This window comes from Homo sapiens, chromosome 5 (genome assembly GCF_000001405.40).
Source record: "Homo sapiens chromosome 5, GRCh38.p14 Primary Assembly".
Taxonomy (NCBI): domain Eukaryota; kingdom Metazoa; phylum Chordata; class Mammalia; order Primates; family Hominidae; genus Homo; species Homo sapiens.
In genome coordinates, this window is record NC_000005.10 from 118,938,157 (window position 1) to 118,958,476 (window position 20,320).

At 39.8% G+C, this 20,320-nt stretch overlaps 1 protein-coding gene across 4 annotated transcripts in view, besides 4 other annotated features; it reads right to left on the minus strand.

Annotated features, from left to right (window-relative positions):
• Positions 1 to 20,320, minus strand: part of DTWD2 (DTW motif tRNA-uridine aminocarboxypropyltransferase 2) — a 152,474-nt gene that overhangs the window by 102,083 nt on the left and 30,071 nt on the right. For all 4 annotated transcript variants that reach the window (NM_173666.4, XM_011543338.4, NM_001308081.2 and 1 more), the window contains exons 2-3: positions 6,403 to 6,493; positions 1,040 to 1,134 (exon numbers count right to left, since the gene is read on the minus strand). In NM_173666.4, the coding sequence (NP_775937.1) occupies positions 1,040 to 1,134; positions 6,403 to 6,493 (186 nt within the window). The remainder of the gene's footprint in view (positions 1 to 1,039; positions 1,135 to 6,402; positions 6,494 to 20,320) is intronic.
• Positions 8,465 to 8,985: an enhancer, noted in NCBI's record as "H3K4me1 hESC enhancer chr5:118282316-118282836 (GRCh37/hg19 assembly coordinates)". NCBI's record gives its function as "activates a minimal SCP1, AML or CMV promoter by ChIP-STARR-seq in naive H9 embryonic stem cells {active_cell/tissue: H9 hESC(naive)}" and the evidence as "EXISTENCE:reporter gene assay evidence [ECO:0000049][PMID:30033119]".
• Positions 8,986 to 9,505: an enhancer, noted in NCBI's record as "H3K4me1 hESC enhancer chr5:118282837-118283356 (GRCh37/hg19 assembly coordinates)". NCBI's record gives its function as "activates a minimal SCP1, AML or CMV promoter by ChIP-STARR-seq in naive H9 embryonic stem cells {active_cell/tissue: H9 hESC(naive)}" and the evidence as "EXISTENCE:reporter gene assay evidence [ECO:0000049][PMID:30033119]".
• Positions 11,342 to 11,843: an enhancer, noted in NCBI's record as "H3K4me1 hESC enhancer chr5:118285193-118285694 (GRCh37/hg19 assembly coordinates)". NCBI's record gives its function as "activates a minimal SCP1, AML or CMV promoter by ChIP-STARR-seq in naive H9 embryonic stem cells {active_cell/tissue: H9 hESC(naive)}" and the evidence as "EXISTENCE:reporter gene assay evidence [ECO:0000049][PMID:30033119]".
• Positions 12,549 to 13,439: an enhancer, noted in NCBI's record as "H3K27ac hESC enhancer chr5:118286400-118287290 (GRCh37/hg19 assembly coordinates)". NCBI's record gives its function as "activates a minimal SCP1, AML or CMV promoter by ChIP-STARR-seq in naive H9 embryonic stem cells {active_cell/tissue: H9 hESC(naive)}" and the evidence as "EXISTENCE:reporter gene assay evidence [ECO:0000049][PMID:30033119]".

Sequence of the window (20,320 nt, forward strand, 5' to 3'; positions counted from 1 at the left end):
CTTTCACCACTTCCAATAAACATTATACTAAAGGTATCAGTTATTGCAATGCGGCAAGGAAAAAAAAAGGATAAGTATCAGAAAGGAAGAAATATAAATGATCTCATTTGCAGATGACAATGCTGCTTACATAGAAAGTTCCAGGGAATCTACAAAACAATTTCTACAACTAACAGACGAATTTAGAAAGTTACTGGATATGGGGTTAATATATAAAAACCAATTGTTTTCTTATATACTAGAGGCAAAAATTTACAAAGGACACCAAAAGCAGTATGTCTCTTAATCATTCCCCGATGATTTCATCATGTACTCTAACAAAAGCCTAAATTAATCATTCAATTACCACATTTATATTAATAGTTCTAATTTGCTTTAATTTAAAATTCATCAGCAAATAATAATTTACTGGCCAGGCCCAGTGGCTCATGCCTGTAGTCCCAGCTGCTCAGGAAGCTGAGGTGGGAGAATCACTTGAGCCCAGGAGGTGGAGGCTGCAGTGAGCCAAAATTGCACCACTGCACTCCAGACTGGGCAACAAAGTGAGATCCTGCCTCAAAAAATAATAATAATAACAATTTACTGAGTAAGCACTATATTAGGCACCATAGGGGAAAAAAAACTGAACTAAATCTAATACAAGAACCCTACCAAAAAAAAAAAAAAAAAAGTTGTGGAAGATATTTAAGAAAAAAAAAAAAAAAGAACCCTACCATCTACCAACTGAAAGGCACTTTTAACAAAAATGATATAAACACTAAGTATATTTGCCTTTTAAGTTAAACATACATTACTATGAAATTCAGATAATGCTATCATTCCTTTGCTTATACATTATTTATTTTTTTATTTCTGATTTTGTTTTGTTTTGTTTTGTCTTGTATTATTTTGTGTGGTCAGGGGTTAGCAGAACCTAAATTTTTTGACTAATTTCCACTCTTTAGACCATGAATAAGCTGAAAGAAATAAGCTGAAAGAAACCATTTTTTAAGATCTGTGTAGAAAAGAATTATTTACATTGCCCTAACAGTTAATTTACCTTTCTTCACTGAAGCGACGACCGATCTTCACTTTACACTTGTCCTGGGGGAGGCATGCTGCTAGTAGAGGAACTGTACGCAACACTTTGTTTTCCTTTAATTAAAAAATGAATTGAAACATAGATTTTTACTTAGATATACACACTTTTAAATATTTTATAATGAACATCTGATTCATAACTTTATGCATAACTTTCACAAGTCTTTTACTAAAGACCACAGTTTAATAAAAAGAGGTAAAATTTCTCTGATTTATCAGTATTAACCATAACACAAGCATACATTTTTATTCTATTTGGGTATGTTTTACAGGTTTACTGATCAAAGAAGATTACATTAATATATATAATGATTAAGATTATTAAAATGTAAATTTGTGTTTAACTAAATTGAATCATTTACTCTGACAAGTTTTTCATTTCACAAGTAATTACATTTTGCACTATGCCAGCTTGAAGATAATTGCCTAGATCTTTATGCCCAAAAAAGCAAGGAAGTGCTCAGAAAACAAAACAATCGGTTCTTCCCAGCATAGCCTCTTTACTTAAATTAAAAATTTTTTTAAAAAAGAAAACAAAACAATGGGGTATGTCAAAGGGACACAGAAGCCAATCTTAAAGAGCTCCCAATGGCTAAAATTGAACAATCTGAGCAAGAAAATAAATAACACAGTACTGGGTTATAACCCAAAGTACAAATTAGAGTCCAGAATGATATAAATAAATGACTTAATAAATAAATGGGGGAGAAGAAACAAATCTTCCTTACAAAAGAATTCCAAATAATAAATGTAAATACTCCCCCCTCCTGAAGGTGGAACTTAATCTCTTCCTCCCACTTGAGTGTGGGCTGGATTTATGGCCTTGCTTCCAAAGAATATAGAGTATGGAAAGAGAACAAAAATAATAACTTTAGAGTGGAGAAATCTGGTGGCCATTTCTGAAAAAGCCATTAAGTTGACTGTCGTCAGTGGTTTCTTCAATGTCCTAGCTTCCATCACTGGAAACCATCTTTCTTGTTGCCACGAGAATTCTACCTTGAATCCCATAGAGCCAAGTGATTAGTTACTCCGCCTTAGGTGGTTTTAGGACATTTTCCAATGTTTAATACAATGTTCTTCTCTCTTTACCATCACCATGAGACTGTGACACAAACTTAATCAGTTTCTAAACCTTTATCAAAGTAATACATGTATATATGTCAAATTAAATAGTGCCATAAGATTTAAAATGCCACAGTTGTTCCCAGATGTACTCCCCAGTACCACATCCTGGAGGCAATCACTTTAACTCTTTTGGCTATTTCTTCTGGTAGTTATCTCCATATAACCATACAATATATGTTGTTTTTCTATTTCTTGATTTATCGATTTTAGATATTATCCAAAAACTACCAATTATCATCATCATAACAGCTAATATTAAGGCACACAATTCTAAGTACAATACAAAGAGAGAGAGAAATATATCTTTTGTCATATCCATTTTACTAATGAGGAAACTGAAACACAGAGATGTTAATTAACTTGCTCAAAGTTTCAGAGTTTATAGAACTATTAAGAATTTGAACTCAGGCAGTCTAGCTCCACAGCCCTTAAGTACTGCCTCTCATAACAAATGAGGATTTAGCTTTCTAATACCACTCCTTCCTCTCACATCTAATATTATTAGTTAAGTCAATAAACAGTGTTTGCATCTTCACGACTAAATACACATTGTTCACAAAGGCCAAGTCCTTTAACATAAGATTATTTTCTTGTAAAGCTTTCTGTTATTTTTGAGATAGCTTTTCTATTTTTACCCTTAGGTAATTTTACATGTATGTATACCTACTCTTTGAAATGCTCCATCATATCACCTCCATATCATCTACTCCACCAAGTCTTCTTTTCCCAAAGCCCCCTCCTAGAGCCTATCTAAATGGTTAATAACTTTTCTATGGGAGAGTCAAAAACTAGCAAATCCTTTTTTCTTTTTATTATATATATATTTTTATTATACTGTAAGTTCTAGGGTACATGTGCACAATGTGCAGATTTGTTACATATGTATACATGTGCCATGTTGGTGTGCTGCACCCATTAACTCGTCATTTACATTAGGTCTATCTCCTAATGCTATCCCTCCCCACACCCCTCACCCTACAACAGGCCCCGGTGTGTGATGTTCCCCTTCCTGTGTCCAAGTGTTCTCATTGTTCAATTCCCACCTATGAGTGAGAACATGCAGTGTTTGGTTTTCTTGTCCTTGTGATATAGTTTGCTAAGAATGATGGTTTCCAGCTTCATCCATGTCCTACAAAGGACATGAACTCATCATTTTTTATGGCTGCATAGTATTCCATGGTGTATATGTGCCACATTTTCTTAATCCAGTCTATCATTGTTGGACATTTAGGTTGGTTCCAAGTCTTTGCTATTGTGAGTAGTGCTGCAATAAACATACGTGTGCATGTGTCTTTATAGCAGCATGATTTATATTCCTTTGGGTATACACCCAGTAATGGGATGGCTGGGTCAAATGGTATTTCTAGTTCTAGATCCCTGAGGAATCGCCACACAGACTTCCACAATGGTTGAACTAGTTTACAGTCCCATCAACAGTGTAAAAGTGTTCCTATTTCTCCACATCCTCTCCAGCACCTGTTGTTTCCTGACTTTTTAATGATCGCCATTCTAACTGGTGTGAGATGATATCTCATTGTGGTTTTGATTTGCATTTCTCTGATGGCCAGTGATGAAGAGCATTTTTTCATGTGTCTGTTGGCTGCATAAATGTCTTCTTTTGAGAAGTGTCTGTTCATATCCTTTGTCCACTTTTTGATGGGGTTCTTTGTTTTTTTCTTGTAAATTTGTTTGAGTTCTTTGTAGATTCTGGATATTAGCCCTTTTTCAGATGAGTAGATTGCAAAAATTTTCTCTCATTCTGTAGGCTAGCAAATCCTTTTATTGGAAATGGTGTGCTGAAGTTAAGCACAGGCAGCCCAGTATTAATAAGTTAGATGAAAACTGGAAAATTCCTTTGCTAAGAATGGCTGGACACAGTGGTTCACGCCTATAGTCCCAGCTCTTAGGGAGGCAGAGGTTGGAGGATAACTTGAGCCATGGGTTTGAGACCTGCCTGGGCAATATAGCGAGACCCCGTTCTTAAAAACAGAAAATAATAATAATAGAAAATTCCTTTGCTGAGAAGGAAAAACTGTATGGATGCATTTCTACATGCATAAAACACATCTGTAGCACACACAGTGATGAATGAATCATCTAAACCATGGATTAATAATGGTCAAAAATAAATTAAAAATAAGGTATTTGAAAACATTAAAAAAAAAAGGCCAAGCATGATGGCTCACGCCCGTAATCCTAGCACTGTGGGAGGCTGAGGCAGGAGGATCACTCGAGGCCAGGAATTCAAGACCAGCCTGGGCAACATAGTGAGACCCTATCTCTACAAAAAATAGAAAGAAAACATTAATATTGCCACAAATCAATGAAAACACCCACACTAAAAAAGCTATCTTATATCTGGAACCACACAATAATGAAAAGGCACCATACTGTGTATACTGCAAAATGAACACAGTATTTGCCATCAAATGTCAAGTGGTGTGGGTTGTTTTTTTTTTAAGATAGGGTCTTGCTGTACAGCCCAAGCTAGAGTGCAATGTCACAATCATAGCTCATTGCAGCCTAAAACTCCTGTACAGAAGGGATCCTCCCACCTCAGCCTCCCAAGTAGCTAGGCCTATAGGCATACACCACCACACTTGGCTAATTTTTTTATTTGTTTATAGAGATGGGGTCTCGCTATGTTGCCCAGGCTGGTCTCAAACTTGTGGGCTCAAGTTATCCTCCTTCTTCAGCCTCCCAAAGTGCTGGAATTATAAGCATAAGCCACCGCTCCCAGCCTCAAAAGTCAGGTTTTAACCAAAATTGCTGTGGCCGGCAAGCTATCAGTTTACATAAATTTGAGCTGTACAATGTTTTAAGTTTAATTGAAGTAAAATACTGCTAGTGACCAAATTGTCATAATCCTGACAAAAGCATGATGCTGCTAAGACTGAGAAAAAGGTTAGGCCAGGTGCGGTGGCTCACGCCTGTAATCCCAGCACTTTGGGAGACTGAGGCAGGTGGATCATGAGATCAGGAGATCGAGACCATCCTGGCTAACACGGTGAAACCCCGTCTCTACTAAAAATACAAAAAGTTAGCCGGGCGTTGTGGTGGGCGCCTGTAGTCCCAGCTACTCGGGAGGCCGAGGCAGGAGAATGGCATGAACCTGGAAGGTGGAGCTTGCAGTGAGCTGAGATCGCGCCACTGCACTCCTGCTTGGGCAACAGAGCAAGACTCCGTCTCAAAAAAAAAAAAAAAAGGCTGAGAAAAAGGTTGTCCACCAAATGGAGTAGTTAACAATTTGCAATAAAAGAAAAAATGTTTCAAGGCTGAGGCATGAGAATTGTTTGTACCCGGGAGGCAGAGATTGCAGTGAGCTGAGATTGTACCACTGTACTCCAGCCTGGGTGACAGAGGGAGACTCTGTCTCAAAAAATAAATAAATAAGTGTTTCATCATTTGAAAGAAAGAAAAGATTAATTTCTTTTATACCTCTGTTAAAGTCTTCAAGTGATCCAGACTTGAGAAATTTAAAAAATAATTATTCCTTCTTAGAAAGCTTGACTGCGTCTATGATGTCCTCAGTTCCTAAATACTGAAAGAGTTTTAACTGCATTTTACAGCAAATAATTTCATAGTATGCATTGAGTAGCTTTGTATTAATTATAACTTCCTCCCCTCTTCATTATGCAGCTAATCAAGAGTTACAAACACATATACACACTGGCACATATGTATTTTACCTGCACAAGAAAGTATTAATTTTAAAATCTTTACATATAACATGCATTATAAAATATACATGTTTCTTCTATTCATCTAAAATAAACCAAAAATTTATTTATACATTCACTTTGTAAGAGTAAAATGCCAAAGTTACTTCTACTGGAGCAAGAAAAGACATCAAGCATCAAGAAACATAAGCTATGACCAAAATTTAAAAAGCAATGATTTTCTTAGCTCTTTATTCACAAAACCTCATTTTTTCTTCATACAAAATTGTTGGGAGTTTTAAATTTCTATACTATTCAATAACATAGATTTTGTGAAATGGTATCTCTCTCTAGAGCATAAGACTCTATACTATCAGTTGAAATTAAAAAGAAACTATTTTTTCCAAAAGAGAAAGCATTTATCACCAACTTCTTTTCAGAAATGCTAAAGAGCTGGTAAGGATAAGTATGTTTATCTTCGTGTTTCCTCTTGTGGACTCATATTCTATTTGAAATCCTGTATTTTACAAAATCTTACCTCTGCTGGATGCTGAATTATGTACAAGTGGGTAGAGATATGCAGAGGGTGCGCTGGGAGAAATGGACACAAACACACTTTCTGAGGCCGGCTAAAGGGTAAAAAGAAAAATAAAACTGGTAAATTTTAAAAATACAATGATATAACAATTTTTTAAATGACCTTAATCCCACTGCATTTATACAAAGAGGTTTGCTAAAGCTACATTCTTTTCAAAATGAAATACCAAGAATGAATTTAATCAATCAGACTTTAGACATGAGAATTTGGAGAAATTCAAGTAAATTCTTTACCACTTATATAGATTAAGTACCTCAAAACAAAAATCTTACCTTAGTTATATTTAGAGAAAGAATACCTATAAGTCATCTGGTCCCTTTATTCAAAACATGACACTTCTGATTTGCATTCCAAATCAAAAAGAGATCTCATATCAAAGAGAAACCTGGCAACTCTTCTGTGTCACTTTAAGTTGAGTAAACAATAAGATGATAAAATACTAGAATATAATTACCAACTAGAGAAAAACACTAATCAAACTTAGCCATCAATCAATACAGAGAACTTACCAATTGTGAGAAGAAACTCAAATAGACGCCACCAAATTATATTTGGCTAGAATTATACTAGAAGAGTATTTGCCTTTTCCATTTAACTTACCTTTTCTTACTGCTTGTCATTTTTATTTTACTTACATTTTAGTGCTTTACTACTGTTTAGGTAACTCTTACACACAATATAAAGTTCAATTAGAATTAAAGGCTATACCTCCTATCTCTGTCCTCCAGCCTACAGTATTCTCTTCCTTTAGGGGCAACCAATGACTGGTTTTTTATGTCCTTCCAAAGGTAATGTATGAATAAACATTTGTATTTTACCATTAAATACTATATTTGGTATATGCATTTATAATATGAAATTCATGACTAGGCACGGTGGCTCATGCCTGTAATCCCAGCACTTTGGGAGGCTGAGGTGGGCAGATCACCTGAGGTCAAGAGTTCAAGACCAGCCTGGCCAATGTGGTGAAACCCCAACTCTAATAAAAATGCAAAAATTAGCTGGGAGTGGTGGTGGGTGCCTATAATCCCAGCAACTCGGGAAGTTGAGGTAGGAGAGTTGCTTGAACCCAGGAGATGGAGGTTGCAGTGAGCCAGGATTGTGCCACTGCACTCCAGCCTGGGCGACAGAGCGAGACTCCAACTCAAAAAAAAAAAAAGAAAGAAAGAAAGAAAGAAAGAAAGAAAGAAAGAAATTCATTAAGTGGCCAGATCCCAGATATGGGAGTAAATTTTTCACAAACGATCACAGGCAGATGTTATATGCCATTACAATAGTATACAAATAAATGTTATATTAAAGGGAATTTCCAATACCATACATACAAGCTGATCACTGTTAACTCTTTCCTCAATTTTACTTATTGTGGAATTTTAGACTGAGATTAAGAAATGCTTATTAATAAACCATACAGTGTGGGTAAATTGGCTCAAACATCTGTTAAACACACCCTCTCATTCTGCAAGAAACTGCCAAATCTATGCTCTGGATGAAGAAATTATCTAGATATCTTAGGCAGAAGTAAAATCATATTATACATGACTCCACCTCCTCTTTCCAACCCCACTGAACCTGGAATGTAAGTTTAACCCAAGGAAAATCAATACACCTGATTTCCAGTGACTTCTGAGATGATTTCCAATGATTGTTCTGCCCCACACTGGATTTCCTCTCAGGAATATGAGGAGATTTTTGAGATGGAAAGTCTTTCTGTGGTCACAGGAGTAAACACAAAAGAGGGACAGACACCAACTGATGAAACAGGGTGCAATGACAAACAGATCGAGGACTGCTATAAGAAAGGATTCCTCACTCAGTAGAAACAGGAACAGGATGAGGTACATTCAAATTCTAAAAAACAAGATTCTGATTTTTTCTATTAAGTTAATCAAAACCAAAAACTAAAATGATTCAAAGAATAAATACATCATAGGACAGAAGAACCAAGTAAAAACATGTTTCTCCAACATAACCAGGCAAATTTAAATAAAGTATCTCTATGCTAATAGTATTTCAATGTGGCGGGTGGGGTAGAGTTTGACTTTGAATTTTTTTTAATAAATCTATTCAAATTTTGACTGAAGAAAAGCTGTAAGTCTACAAACATTAGCTTTAATCTTTAAAAACAAACAAACAAAAAAAAACAGAATCTCACTCTGTCACCCAGGCTGGAGTGCAGTGGCACAACCTCAGCTCACTGCAACCTCTGCCTCCCGGATTCAATCGATTCTCGTGTCTCACCCTCCTGAATAGCTGAGATTACAGGCACACATCACCATGTCCAGCTAATTTTTTATATTTTCAGTAGAGAGAGGTTTTCACCACTATGGCCAAGCTGGTCTCGAACTCCTGACCTCAAGTGATCCGCCCACCTCAGCCTCAAAAAGTACTGGTGAAACAGAAAATTTTCCTTGACCCCTTCCTGAGCATCATGACAGGAGTGCCTGCCTCACTTACTCAGCCCACAGCTCTCAACGCCTGGTGGGACGGGGAGCAGCAGGTGAGCAAGTGCAGGAGCCAGAGCTAGCACTGTTGGGTGCCGGCAGGTGCAAAACTCCATGGGGCCCCCCGGCAGTGTCTAGGTGAGTACTCGTGACCCCTGAAGCCCCAGAGGGCATGTGATACAGTGCTCTTTTAGCTTTGCTGCCCACACTGGTGGCACCCAAGCTCTTGTTCGGCGTCCAGTAAAAATCAGGTCACAGGAATGAATTGAAGGGTGGTAAATATGGAGGATTTTATTGCCGATGAAAGTGGCTCTAAGCGGGAAGGAGAGCTGGAAGAGGGATGGAGCAGGAAGGTGATCTTCCCCTGGATTCCGACTGTCCCGAGCTGGACTCTCCGAAGCAACAGCATCAAGCCATCCCTCTAATGTCAAGCTGCTTTTCCCCAACGTCAAACTGCAGTCCCTACCATACAGCTGCCTTTCCTCCTCTCCCCTTCTCTTCTCTCTGCCAGTACAGTCAGGGGTTTTTATGGGTACAGGATGGGGGTGGAACGGGCCATGTGTGGTTTTGGAAAAGACAGCATTCGAGCGGGAAAACAGGAATGCATGTTCTCACTTTGGGGCATAGTTCCAGGCTTGAGGGTGGGGCTTTGCCAGGGACCTTGCCCTTTTCTGCCTAGAATTTCTCTGCCTCCTGTTCCTATCACTGGGATTACAGGCATGAGCCACCATACTCAACCAATTTTAACCTTTTACAGATAAAAGTCCTAACTTTTATCTGTAAAACTTAGTTAAAAAGGGCAGTTCAAATAAGTTGATTTTGTGATACTATTGAGGAACTTCAGTTATATTGTGGTTTTGTATAGTTCTAAAAATCCCCAAAATGAATTGAAGTTAGACTCACTTTAATAACAAATGTTGCATAACACATTTGATGAATGATAATATATATTATAAAAACATATTGTAATAGGTAGTTCATCTACTAAAGGTTAGAAATCAACCTTTTAGGTAAAATGTTATTGGGGCAACATAGAGTGTTGACAGATGTGGAAGATACTATAGCATAGCCTGCCTTAGCTGGTGAGTGGCGATTAAGCCTGGTGGAACTGCCATTAATAAACCAACTGTGGGCCAGGCACGGTGGCTCACGCCTGTAATCCCAGCACTTTGGGAGGCCGAGGCGGGCGGATCACAAGGTCAGGAGTTAGGGACCTTCCTGGCTAACACGGTGAAACCCCGTCTCTACTAAAAATACAAAAAAAAAAAATTAGCCGGGCATGATGGCAGGTGCCTGTAGTCCCAGCTACTTGGGAGGCTGAGGCCAGGGAATGGCATGAACCCGGGAGGCGGAGCTTGCAGTGAGCCGAGATCATGCCACTGCACTCCAGCCTGGGCGACAAAGCAAGACTCCATCTCAAAAAAACAAAAACAAAAACAAACTGTGATCAGGGTGGGGAACAGGAAAAAATGAAATATGGGGAAATGGAGTGAATGCCAGGTGGATCAGAGAGACACGGTCATGGGGGTCAGGTGTGGTATCAGGAATAATGTGGGGGCCAGCCTAAAACAGTAAGGTCAAGTTGTTTGGACAGAAAGGCTACAGGGCACGGTCCCGGCTCTCGTGTAAGAATTCTGACCGCACAGCCCTGCACTTCGGCTGTGTGTAATGAAAAGGGTTGGGATTAGTTAGGGAGAGCTAGTGTGGAAGCAGCTTCTAGGGCTGTTTTTAAGGAAAGGAAAGAGGAGTGGGGAAAGGATTTAGGATCTATGAGGTCAGCTAAGTTTCTTTTTGTGAGTTTATATAACGGTTTAGTCAGGATGGCAAAACCAGGTATCCAAAGGTGAAAGTACCTAACCATGCTAGGAAGGAAAGGAGTTGTTGCTTTGTAGAAGGGGTTAGGGTTTGGGAGATTAGCCAGACACGATCAGCAGGGAGAGAACGTGTGTTTTTATTAAGAATTATGCCGAGATAGGTAACAGATGAGGAAGAAATTTGGGCTTTGAAGGAGGATACGCGATATTCTTTTGAGAACAGATGTTGGAGGAGCAGAAGGGTGTCCTTTTGGGAAGATTTGTAGGAGGGGCTATAAAGTAGAAGGTTGTCAAAATATTGAATAAAGTGAGAAGCAGATGGATGGAAAGAAAGTAAATCATGAGAAACGGCTTGACTGAAGTAATGGGGGCTGTTCCTGAAGCCTTGTGGCAGTATAGCCTAGGTAAGTTGCTGAGACTGATGGGTGTCAGGGTCAGTCCAAGTGAAAGCAAAGAGAGGCTGGGATGAAGGGTGCAAAGGAATAGTAAAGGAAGCATGCTTGAGATCCAGAACAGAAAAATGGGTTGTGGAGGGAGGTATTGAGGACAAGAGTGTACGGGTTGGGCACTACAGGGTGGACAGGCAAAACAATTTGGTTGATAAGGCATAGATCCTGAACCAACCTGTAAGACTTGTCTGGTTTTTGGATGGGTAAAATGGGAGAATTGTAAGGAGAGTTTATATGCTTTAGAAGCCCATGCTGTAGCAAGTGAGTGATAACAGGCTTTAACCTTTTAAAGCATGCGGTGGGATGGGATATTGGCATTGAGTGGGGTAAGGGTGATTAGGTTTTAATGGGATGTTAAGGGGTGCATGATCATTCGCCAAGGTAGGAATAGAGGTGTCTCATACTTGTGGATTAAGATGGGGAGACACAAGGGGAGGATGTGAAGGAGGCTTTGAACTGGGGAAAAGGGCGGCAATGAGTTGTGGCTGTAGCCTAGGAATAGTCAGGAAAGCAGATAAGTTAGTTAAAATGCCTAGACCTAATAAGGGAACTGGGCACGTGGGGATAACTAAAAAGGAGTGCACAAAAGAATATTGTCTAAGCGGCCGGGCGCGATGGCTCACGCCTGTAATCCCAGCACTTTGGGAGGCCAAGGCGGGCAGATCACGAGGTCAGGAGATCGAGACCATCCTGGCTAACATGGTGAAACCCCGTCACTATTAAAAATACAAAAAATTAGCTGGGCATGGTGGCGGACGCCTGTCATCCCAGCTATTCAGGAGGTTGAGGTGGGAGAATGGTGTGAACCCAGGAGACGGAGCTTGTATTATTGAGCCGAGATCACGCCACTGCACTCCAGCCTCGGTGACAGAGTGAGACTCCATCTCCAAAAAAAAAAAAAAAAAAAAAAAAGAATATTGTCTAAGTTGGCACCAGAGTTGGGGAGTTTTAAGAGGTTTAGAAGCCTGGCCATCAATACCTACAACAGTTATGGAGGCAAGGGAAACGGTCCTTGAAAAGAAGGTAATGTGGAGTGGGTAGTCTCTGTATTGATTAAGAAGGGGACGGCCTTACCCTCCACTGTAAGAGTTACCTCAAGCGCCTGTGATGGTCCAGGAGGCTTTTGAGGCAATCAGGCAGTGTCAGTCTTCAGCTGCTAAGCCGAGAAGATCGGGGAAGGAGTCAGAGAGCCTTGGGCCAGAATTCCAGGGGCTCTGGGAGTGGCTGCCGGGCAAGTTGGACAGTTCGATTTCCAGTGGGGTCCCGCACAGATGGGACATGACTAAGGAGGAATCCCGGGCTGCAGGCATTCCTTGGCCCAGTGGCCAGATTTCCAGCACTTGAAGCAAGATCCTGGGGGAGGAGGTCCTGAAGGAATGCCTGACCACTGTGGCTTAGGCGTTTTGAAGTTCTTCTGTGCTGAAGATGTGGCTGGGGTTTCTCTCACAGCAGAGGCAAGTAATTGCAACTCAGAAATACATTGCTGCTTGGCTGCCTCTTTTTAATTATTGTACACCTTGAAGGCAAGGTTAATTAAATCCTGTTGTGGGGTTTGAGGGCTGGAATTTAAGTTTTGGAGCTTTTTTTAAACGTCAGGAGCAGATTGGGTAATAAAATGCATATTGAGAATAAGACGGCCTTCTGGCCTTTCTGGGTCTAGGAAGGTAAAGTCTCTAAGGGTTGTTGCCAAACAAGCCACGGACTGGGCTGGGTTTTCATATTTGATGAAAAAAAGCCTAAACACTAACTGATTTGGGAGAGGCTGGATAAAGAAAAAGGAGCAATAACCTTGACCATGCCTTTAGCTCCAGACACCTCTTTAAGAGGAAATTGTTGGGCAGGTGGGGAAGGGCTAGTCACAGAAGGAAACTGTAAGCCGGACTGGGTGTGAGGAGAGGAGGTGATAGAAGGATTATAGGGTGGAGGAGCAGAAGCCGAGGAAGAAGTGGGACCTGGCTCGGCCTGGCAAGGGGCAGCCTGGGGAGGAAGAGAGAGGTCATATAGGTCTGTAGAAAAGGAGGATTCAAAGGACTCAGAGCTTGGGGTGGAGACTGAAGGAACAGACAGGAGAGAAAGAAGAAAGATTTGGGACGAGTTGCATTGGGAGCAGAGATTAGAAAGGGACTGATGTGAAAAAGAATGCCTAGACGTCAGGCACCTCAGACCATTTGCCCATTTTACGAGAAGAATTATCTAGATCTTGTAGGATGGAGAAATCAAAAGTGACATTTTCTGGCTATTTGGAAACACTGTCAAGTTTGTATTGGGGTCAAGCGGTGTTGCAGAAGAAAATAAGGCATTTAGGTTTTAGGTCAGGTGTGAGTTGAAGAGGTTTTAAGTTTTTGAGAACACAGGCTAAGGGAGAAGAAGGAGGAATGGAGGGTGGAAGGTTGCCCATAGTGAAGGAAGCAAGCCCAGAGAAAAGAGAGGGTAGAGACATGGAGAGAAGGGGTGGGAGGGTACTTGCCCCGCCTCGGGGAGGTAGTGCTTGCCACCAAGGTGAAGGATCAAGGCAGGCGTCCCCATGGTGATCAGACACCTCTGAAATGTGGCTGAATAATCAGGCAGGTGTCCCCGCGTGATTAAACACAAAGGAAAGACTGTCTTCCCAAGTCTGTGACTGGCACCGGAGTTTTAGGTTCACGGATAAAACGCGTCTCCTCTGTCTCTACCAGAAAAAGAAAGGAACTGAAATTAAGGGAAGGGAGAGATTGAAAGGTGGCGCAGAAATTGAAAGGAGAAAGGGGTTGAGGGATAGTGAGAGGACAGAGAAGACAGTAAAAAGACGCCGCTTACCCAATTTAAAATTGGTGAGATGTTCCTTGGGCTGGTTGGTCTGAGGACCAGAGGTCGTAGATGGATCTTTCTCACGGAGCAAAGAGCAGGAGGACAGGGGATTGATCTCCCAAGGGAGGTCCCCCAATCCGAGTCACGGCACCAAATGTTTCGACACCAAATGTCACGCGCGTCCGTGTGAAGAGACCACCAAAGAGGCTTTGTGTGAGCAATAAAGCTTTTTAATCACCTGGGTGCAGGCAGGCTGAGTCCAAAAAGAGTCAGCAAAGGGACATAGGGGTGGGGCCATTTTATAGGAGTTGGGTAGGTAGTGGAAAATTACAGTCAAAGGGGTTGTTCTCCGGCAAGCAGGGGCGGGGGTCATGAGGTGCTCAGTGGGGGAGCGTCTGAGCCGGGAGAAGGAATTTCACAAGGTAATGTCATCAGTTAGGGCAGGAATTGGCCATTTTCACTTCTTTTGTGATTCTTCACTTGCTTCATGCCATCTGGATGTAAACATGCAGGCTTGGGCTCAAAGGCCTGACAGGAACCTTTAAGAACATTTAGAAACTCTACTCCAAAAGTCTATTTAAAAGTTGGTTGTCTGGAAGTGGTTAGATTCTCAGCCCACAACAGCAGTCTTTAACCCATAAATCTGCAATATTTACAATATTATTTTAAGTACAGTATCCAACCAGGACCACATTGCTTATGCTCCAAGACAACGCCTCTCATCTTGTTTGCACGTCTCTGTTACTCCCAGGGCTGAATTCACTTTCTTTTATTTTAGTCGTATGTATTTCCTTTAGATTCCTATTAATACTTCCATTTAAACACTTGACCACATCATATGACAAAATTTTGTTTTCACATCTTCCTCTCACTTCTAGATGATGAACCCTCTAAGAGCAGAGTTTTCATTTAATTTTTGTATCCCCTAGTACAGTGATTCCCAAACTTTTGCTGTTATCAGAATCACCTAGAGGACTCATTAAACTAGACAGCTGAGCCCCAGCCCTCAGAGCTTCTGATTCAGTAAGCCTGAGAATGTGCATTTCTAACAAATTCCTAGGTGGTGATGATGCTGCTAGTGAGTAAGGAGTGAGGGGGTGAAGAATGTAAAGACCACAGTTTGATGTGCAAGGCTCTAGAGGTGTCCACACCAGTGGGTTTTATTTTTCAAGTGACTTGAATTCATTCGTATCTACATCCTGCCCACTTACCCATTCCTGTCTACATCTGAAGGTTGGCAAAGCTTGATGAACTTTTGTGAGAAGTAGTAATCAAAGAATAATAAACAACAAAGCTATGGACAAAATGGCTTACCCAAAACCCTTCCCCCTGCATGAAAATTTGACCTTCCCTTAACTAACGAGCTCTGTTACCCTGGCAACATGATAACTATATTGCTAAGCAACACTGTATGTGATTTAAATGACAACTGACTGGTAGATTGCATATGGACTAGAGACCTATAAAGACCCTATGGGGACACCATACTTTGGACTTCCCTAAATTGGAACCCTAGAAACTTGCTAGAGAGTTGTTACAAAAGATGTTGGCTCCTGAGAGCATAAAGTTATTAGGCTACCTTATCTGCCTAGTGTGGAACATATCACCTTCCACCTGAGCTGGACTGCTATGCCAGACTGCCACAAGGATGCCAGCAGAAAAGGGTCATCTAAGGTTGCTCTACAATGCCACAAATGCAAATTTGTGGCTCCTGGCCTATATCTTTCTGGTATTAGGTGTGGCCTAAAGTAGTCTTATGCACCTGAGTGTCTAGCAACTGGTGCTCTGCCTGGTATCTTATCCCAGATATCTGCAGAGCTTAAAGATTCACTTAGACCAGGTCTTTGCTCCAATGCCCCATTCTAAAATAATCCAAGGCAAGGCATGGTGGCTCATGCCTGTAATCTCAGAATTTTGGGAAGCTGAGGAGAAAGGATCACTTGAGCACAGGAATTCGAGATCAGCCTAGGAAACATAGCAAGACCTCATCTCTACTAAAAATTTAAAAATTAGCCAGACACGGTGGTGCACAGCTGTAGTCCCAGCTACTTGGGAGGCTGAAACAGGAAGACTGCTCATACCCAGGTGTTTGAGGATGCAGTGAGCTATGATCACACCACTGTACTCCAGCCTGGGCAACAGAGAGAGAAAAACCCTAGCAATGAATCAATCAATCAATCAAATCATCCACCTTTTCTCTCACTATCACTCTCTATCCCCTTATTCTGACTGATTTTTCTTCACAGCATTTTACTACTATTTGACATTATGTTAGCTGAATGTGGGTTTCCTTCTCTAAAATGTAAGCTACAGGGAGGCAAGGACTTAGCCTACCTTTTTCACTGCTATATCCCCAGCACCTGGCATAGTAGGTGCTCAATAGATATTGCTGAATACATAAAGGATTTTTTTCTTTTTTTGAGACAGGTGTCACTCTGTCACCCAGGCTGGAGTGCAGTGGCATGATCTCAGTTCACTGCAACCTCCGCCTCCCAATTCAAGCAATTCTCATGCCTCAGCCTCGTGAGTAGCTGAGGTTACAGGTGTGCACCACCACATCTGGCTAATTTTTGTATTTGAATAATTAATGTTATTTTTGGATTTTTTTTTGTAGAGGTGAAGTTTCTCAAATTCCTGGCCTCAAGTGATCCACCTGCTTCGGCCTCCCAAAGTGCTGAAGTTACAGGCGTGAGCCACCGTGCCCAGCCTGAAGGAATATCTTTACATTCCGTCTTCTCTAAACCTTTGAATGCTTTTCTCCTCCTATACAATTTTCTATCCCATTCGTTAATTTTTTTTTATATATCAAAGTTTAATTTCTCCTTTATGCCCTCTCTGGTACTTAAGTAATTCATTTGTATTACAAATGAAATTCAGAGTGTCAGGTCTTCCTTTATTATATTTTGTGATCATTTTGATAAGTGATCGCACATAAAAGACAAAAATATTTACTGAAGAAAACAGTTACTAAAAAAATAGCTAAACAATTTATGTGTAAACACTATAAGCGTGATTTAACCTAAAACTAATTGCTTTAACTCATGATTTTATATGCTCACAAAACATTTTCTATTTACTTTAAAGCATATTCTCTTTATTAACCTAATTTTACTTATAATTACTTCAAACTAATAAAACTGTAGCTCTTTAAAACATCTCAACTAGCTTTATATTTAGCAAGTTACTTTATAGGACGCATTTCTGCTTTATTACCTTACTATCAATCTTTCCTCCCCGACAATGCTCTGCATGCATGGTAATGGTGATTAGCTGACCAACTGTTAAACCATCTCTTCCTAAACTAGTGGGTAAGTGCAGAGTAACTGCTCTCCTCATTCTAAAATCTCTCTAGAAGGTTTAAATATTTAAATTAATAATGGATTGAATAATTTATAAATTCAACAAATTTTTATTCAAATATTTACTGCATACCTAAGTGCCAGATATTAGGCACTTGGGACAATAAAAAGAACAAAGATTCCTACCCTCATGGAGCTTATTTGTTCTCACTGTGCCAGAAATAATTTTTTAAAAGTTCCTTGCTTCTCCAGGCACATAGCAGGGTGCAGCTACTCAGGAGGCTAAGGCAGGAGGATCACTTGAGCCCACTTTGAGGCTGTAGTAGTACAACCAGTGAATAGCCACTATGCTCCAGCCTGGACAACACAGCAAGACCCCTATCTCTTAAAAAAAAAAAAAAGTTCCTTGCTTCCTATGAACTATTATACTTGACAGGCAAAAAATATCACATAACTATATATCAAAACTGATTATTTGTAAATAATGAATATTCATTTTTTTTTAATCAAGCTACTTCTAGAATTTATATAGATATGAGAAATAAAAACTAACATCTAAAGAAATATACACTGGTCAACTGGGTATAGGTTTGGGGAATAACTATTATAATGTCACTACCAATGTTATTGTCTTGCTATGTGACCTTGGGCATGTCACAGATTTTCAATTTCCTTCCGAACAAAACTGGTAACAATAAGGCAACAAGAGAGTTCTGGGGAATAACTACTGCATTACAGGCAAACATTCTGGCTATTATTTTGAGCTAATTTATAACAGACTGACCAAAATAGGTGCTGAGATTTTTCCCTTTTCTATATTTATAATGTATTTACAATGTATTTTTCCGCTCATCGGGGTTTATCTTCTTTAAAACCTATACAACCCAATTAATGTAATTACATTCTTAAAATATAAATGAAACCTTCAAATCATTTCCCCAAGGAAATTCTGTGAAATAAGCTTTTTCTTCTTTTCTCATTAAGGATGTAGAAATAAATACATGGGCTTCCTGTCAGACTAAGACTGACTTGCTTCCTAAACAAATGCTGTAATACAAAGGTAATGTGTATCACTCTGGGCATACTATCTCTGACAGCCTGTGGGCTAATAAAATTATATCTGACATATGACTAGAGATGCTAGGACCTACAAAAAAATCTTTCAAAGCTTTAATTAAATTTCTTATATAATATTCACTGAAAGCTTTTTTCTCACAGTACTGATTTTAATCAAGGTGATTCAAATAAGTAAACTTTAAAGATTAGTGAACAGATTTACAAGTACTCTTTTTAAAGAGTACTAAACAAAAGCAAATGTGGAACCCAGAAAAATAGTGCACCTCAACTTTACCAATACTCAACAAAATTTTTATACTCCTAACATAGCGAAAAAGCAAAGAACAAAAAGTTTCATAGCTATTCATTCAACTAGTTGAATAGATACACTGCATTACACATAAAAATGGCAACAATTTTCCAATTTTAAAACTGGCTTTGGAAAACTAAATACCATAGTGCCCTCTGCTGTCATTTTAAAGAAACTAACGTGATCTGTAAGATAAAGTCATTGTCAGATTTCTGAAACTATATATCCAACATAACCAATAAAAGTAGAAATAGCTTTACATGATTAACATTATAATACATTTTCATCTCCAAAACAGAAGTAGATAACATCTTCCATGTCTGACTGCTTCAAGTACAAATAACAATAATATTCCCATACCCTGCAAAATTGTTTTCCTTACTAGATTCTCTTATAACTGGCTTTAGGAGTGGAGGAAGGATAGACTTAGAAAAAATATACTGTTGTGATTTTTTTTTTTCTGAGACATAGTCTTGCTCTGTCACCCAGGCTGGAGTGCAGTGGCATGATCTCGGCTCACTGCAACCTCCACATCCCGGGTACAAGCAATTCTCCTGCCTCAGCCTCCCAAGTAGCTGGGATTACAGGGGCGCGCCACCATGCCTGGCTAATTTTTGTATTTTTAGTAGAGATGGGGTTTCACCATGTTGGCAAGGTTGGTCTCGAACTCCTGACCTCGTGATCTGCCTGCCTTGGCCTCACAAAGTGCTGGGATTACAGGTGTGAGCCACCGCACCTGGCCACTGTTGTGATTTTTTAATTACAGTGTGAAGTTGTCCTATCCTAAAACGGTGATATATATAATATATATCTGTTTTAAATATATATACACATTTGTTTTTCTTTTTGCGAATTGGGCAGCCTCCCACAAAGGAATAGATTCAGAAACACTCCCAAGAATAAATGTCTTTAGATGAGAGTTTCAGAGACTTGTGCCCCAGAGGGCATGCCTAGAGCAGTGAAGAAATTATCAAGTTTATTTGAATTGTGGACTTGCATCTTACTATCCTTAACAGGGAATCTCACCCGAAATATATATTGTGCTTTGAGATAATAAATAATAATAGTGAGACTCCATTATACTATCATTACTGACCAAAACATTTTTAAAGACTTTATCTCACCAATACTTCTTCCTTTTTTGATATCTAGTTTTGTGTATGTTTTATGAGGTGCATCATATACTAATATACAATAAGTGTGTGTAATTAGAGAAAAATAAGCCTATCTATTAAAATGCACCCTAATTTTTTTAAATCAACTGCAGTATGTAATCAAAATAATTATATCACTGGCCTAGACATGTTTGTTCCTACTAGATCTATAATTAATATAAGTTTTCATGTGAAACCACAAGTTGGTTATTTGAAAGAATAAATCAGACAGACCACTGGCGGCCAGGCGCGGTGGCTCACACCTGTAGTCCCAGCACTTTGGGGGGCCAAGGTGGGCAGATCATGAGGTCAGGAGCTCGAGACCATCCTGGCTAACACAGTGAAACTCCGTCTCTACCAAAAATACAAAAACAAAATGAGCCGGGTGTGGTGGCAGGTGCCTGTAGTCCCAGCTACTCCAGAGGCTGAGGCAGGAGAATGGCGTGAATCCGGGAGGTGGAGTTTGCAGTGAGCCGGGATCACGCCACTACACTCCAGCCAGGGCAACAAAGCAAGACTCCGTCTGAAAAACAACAACAACAACA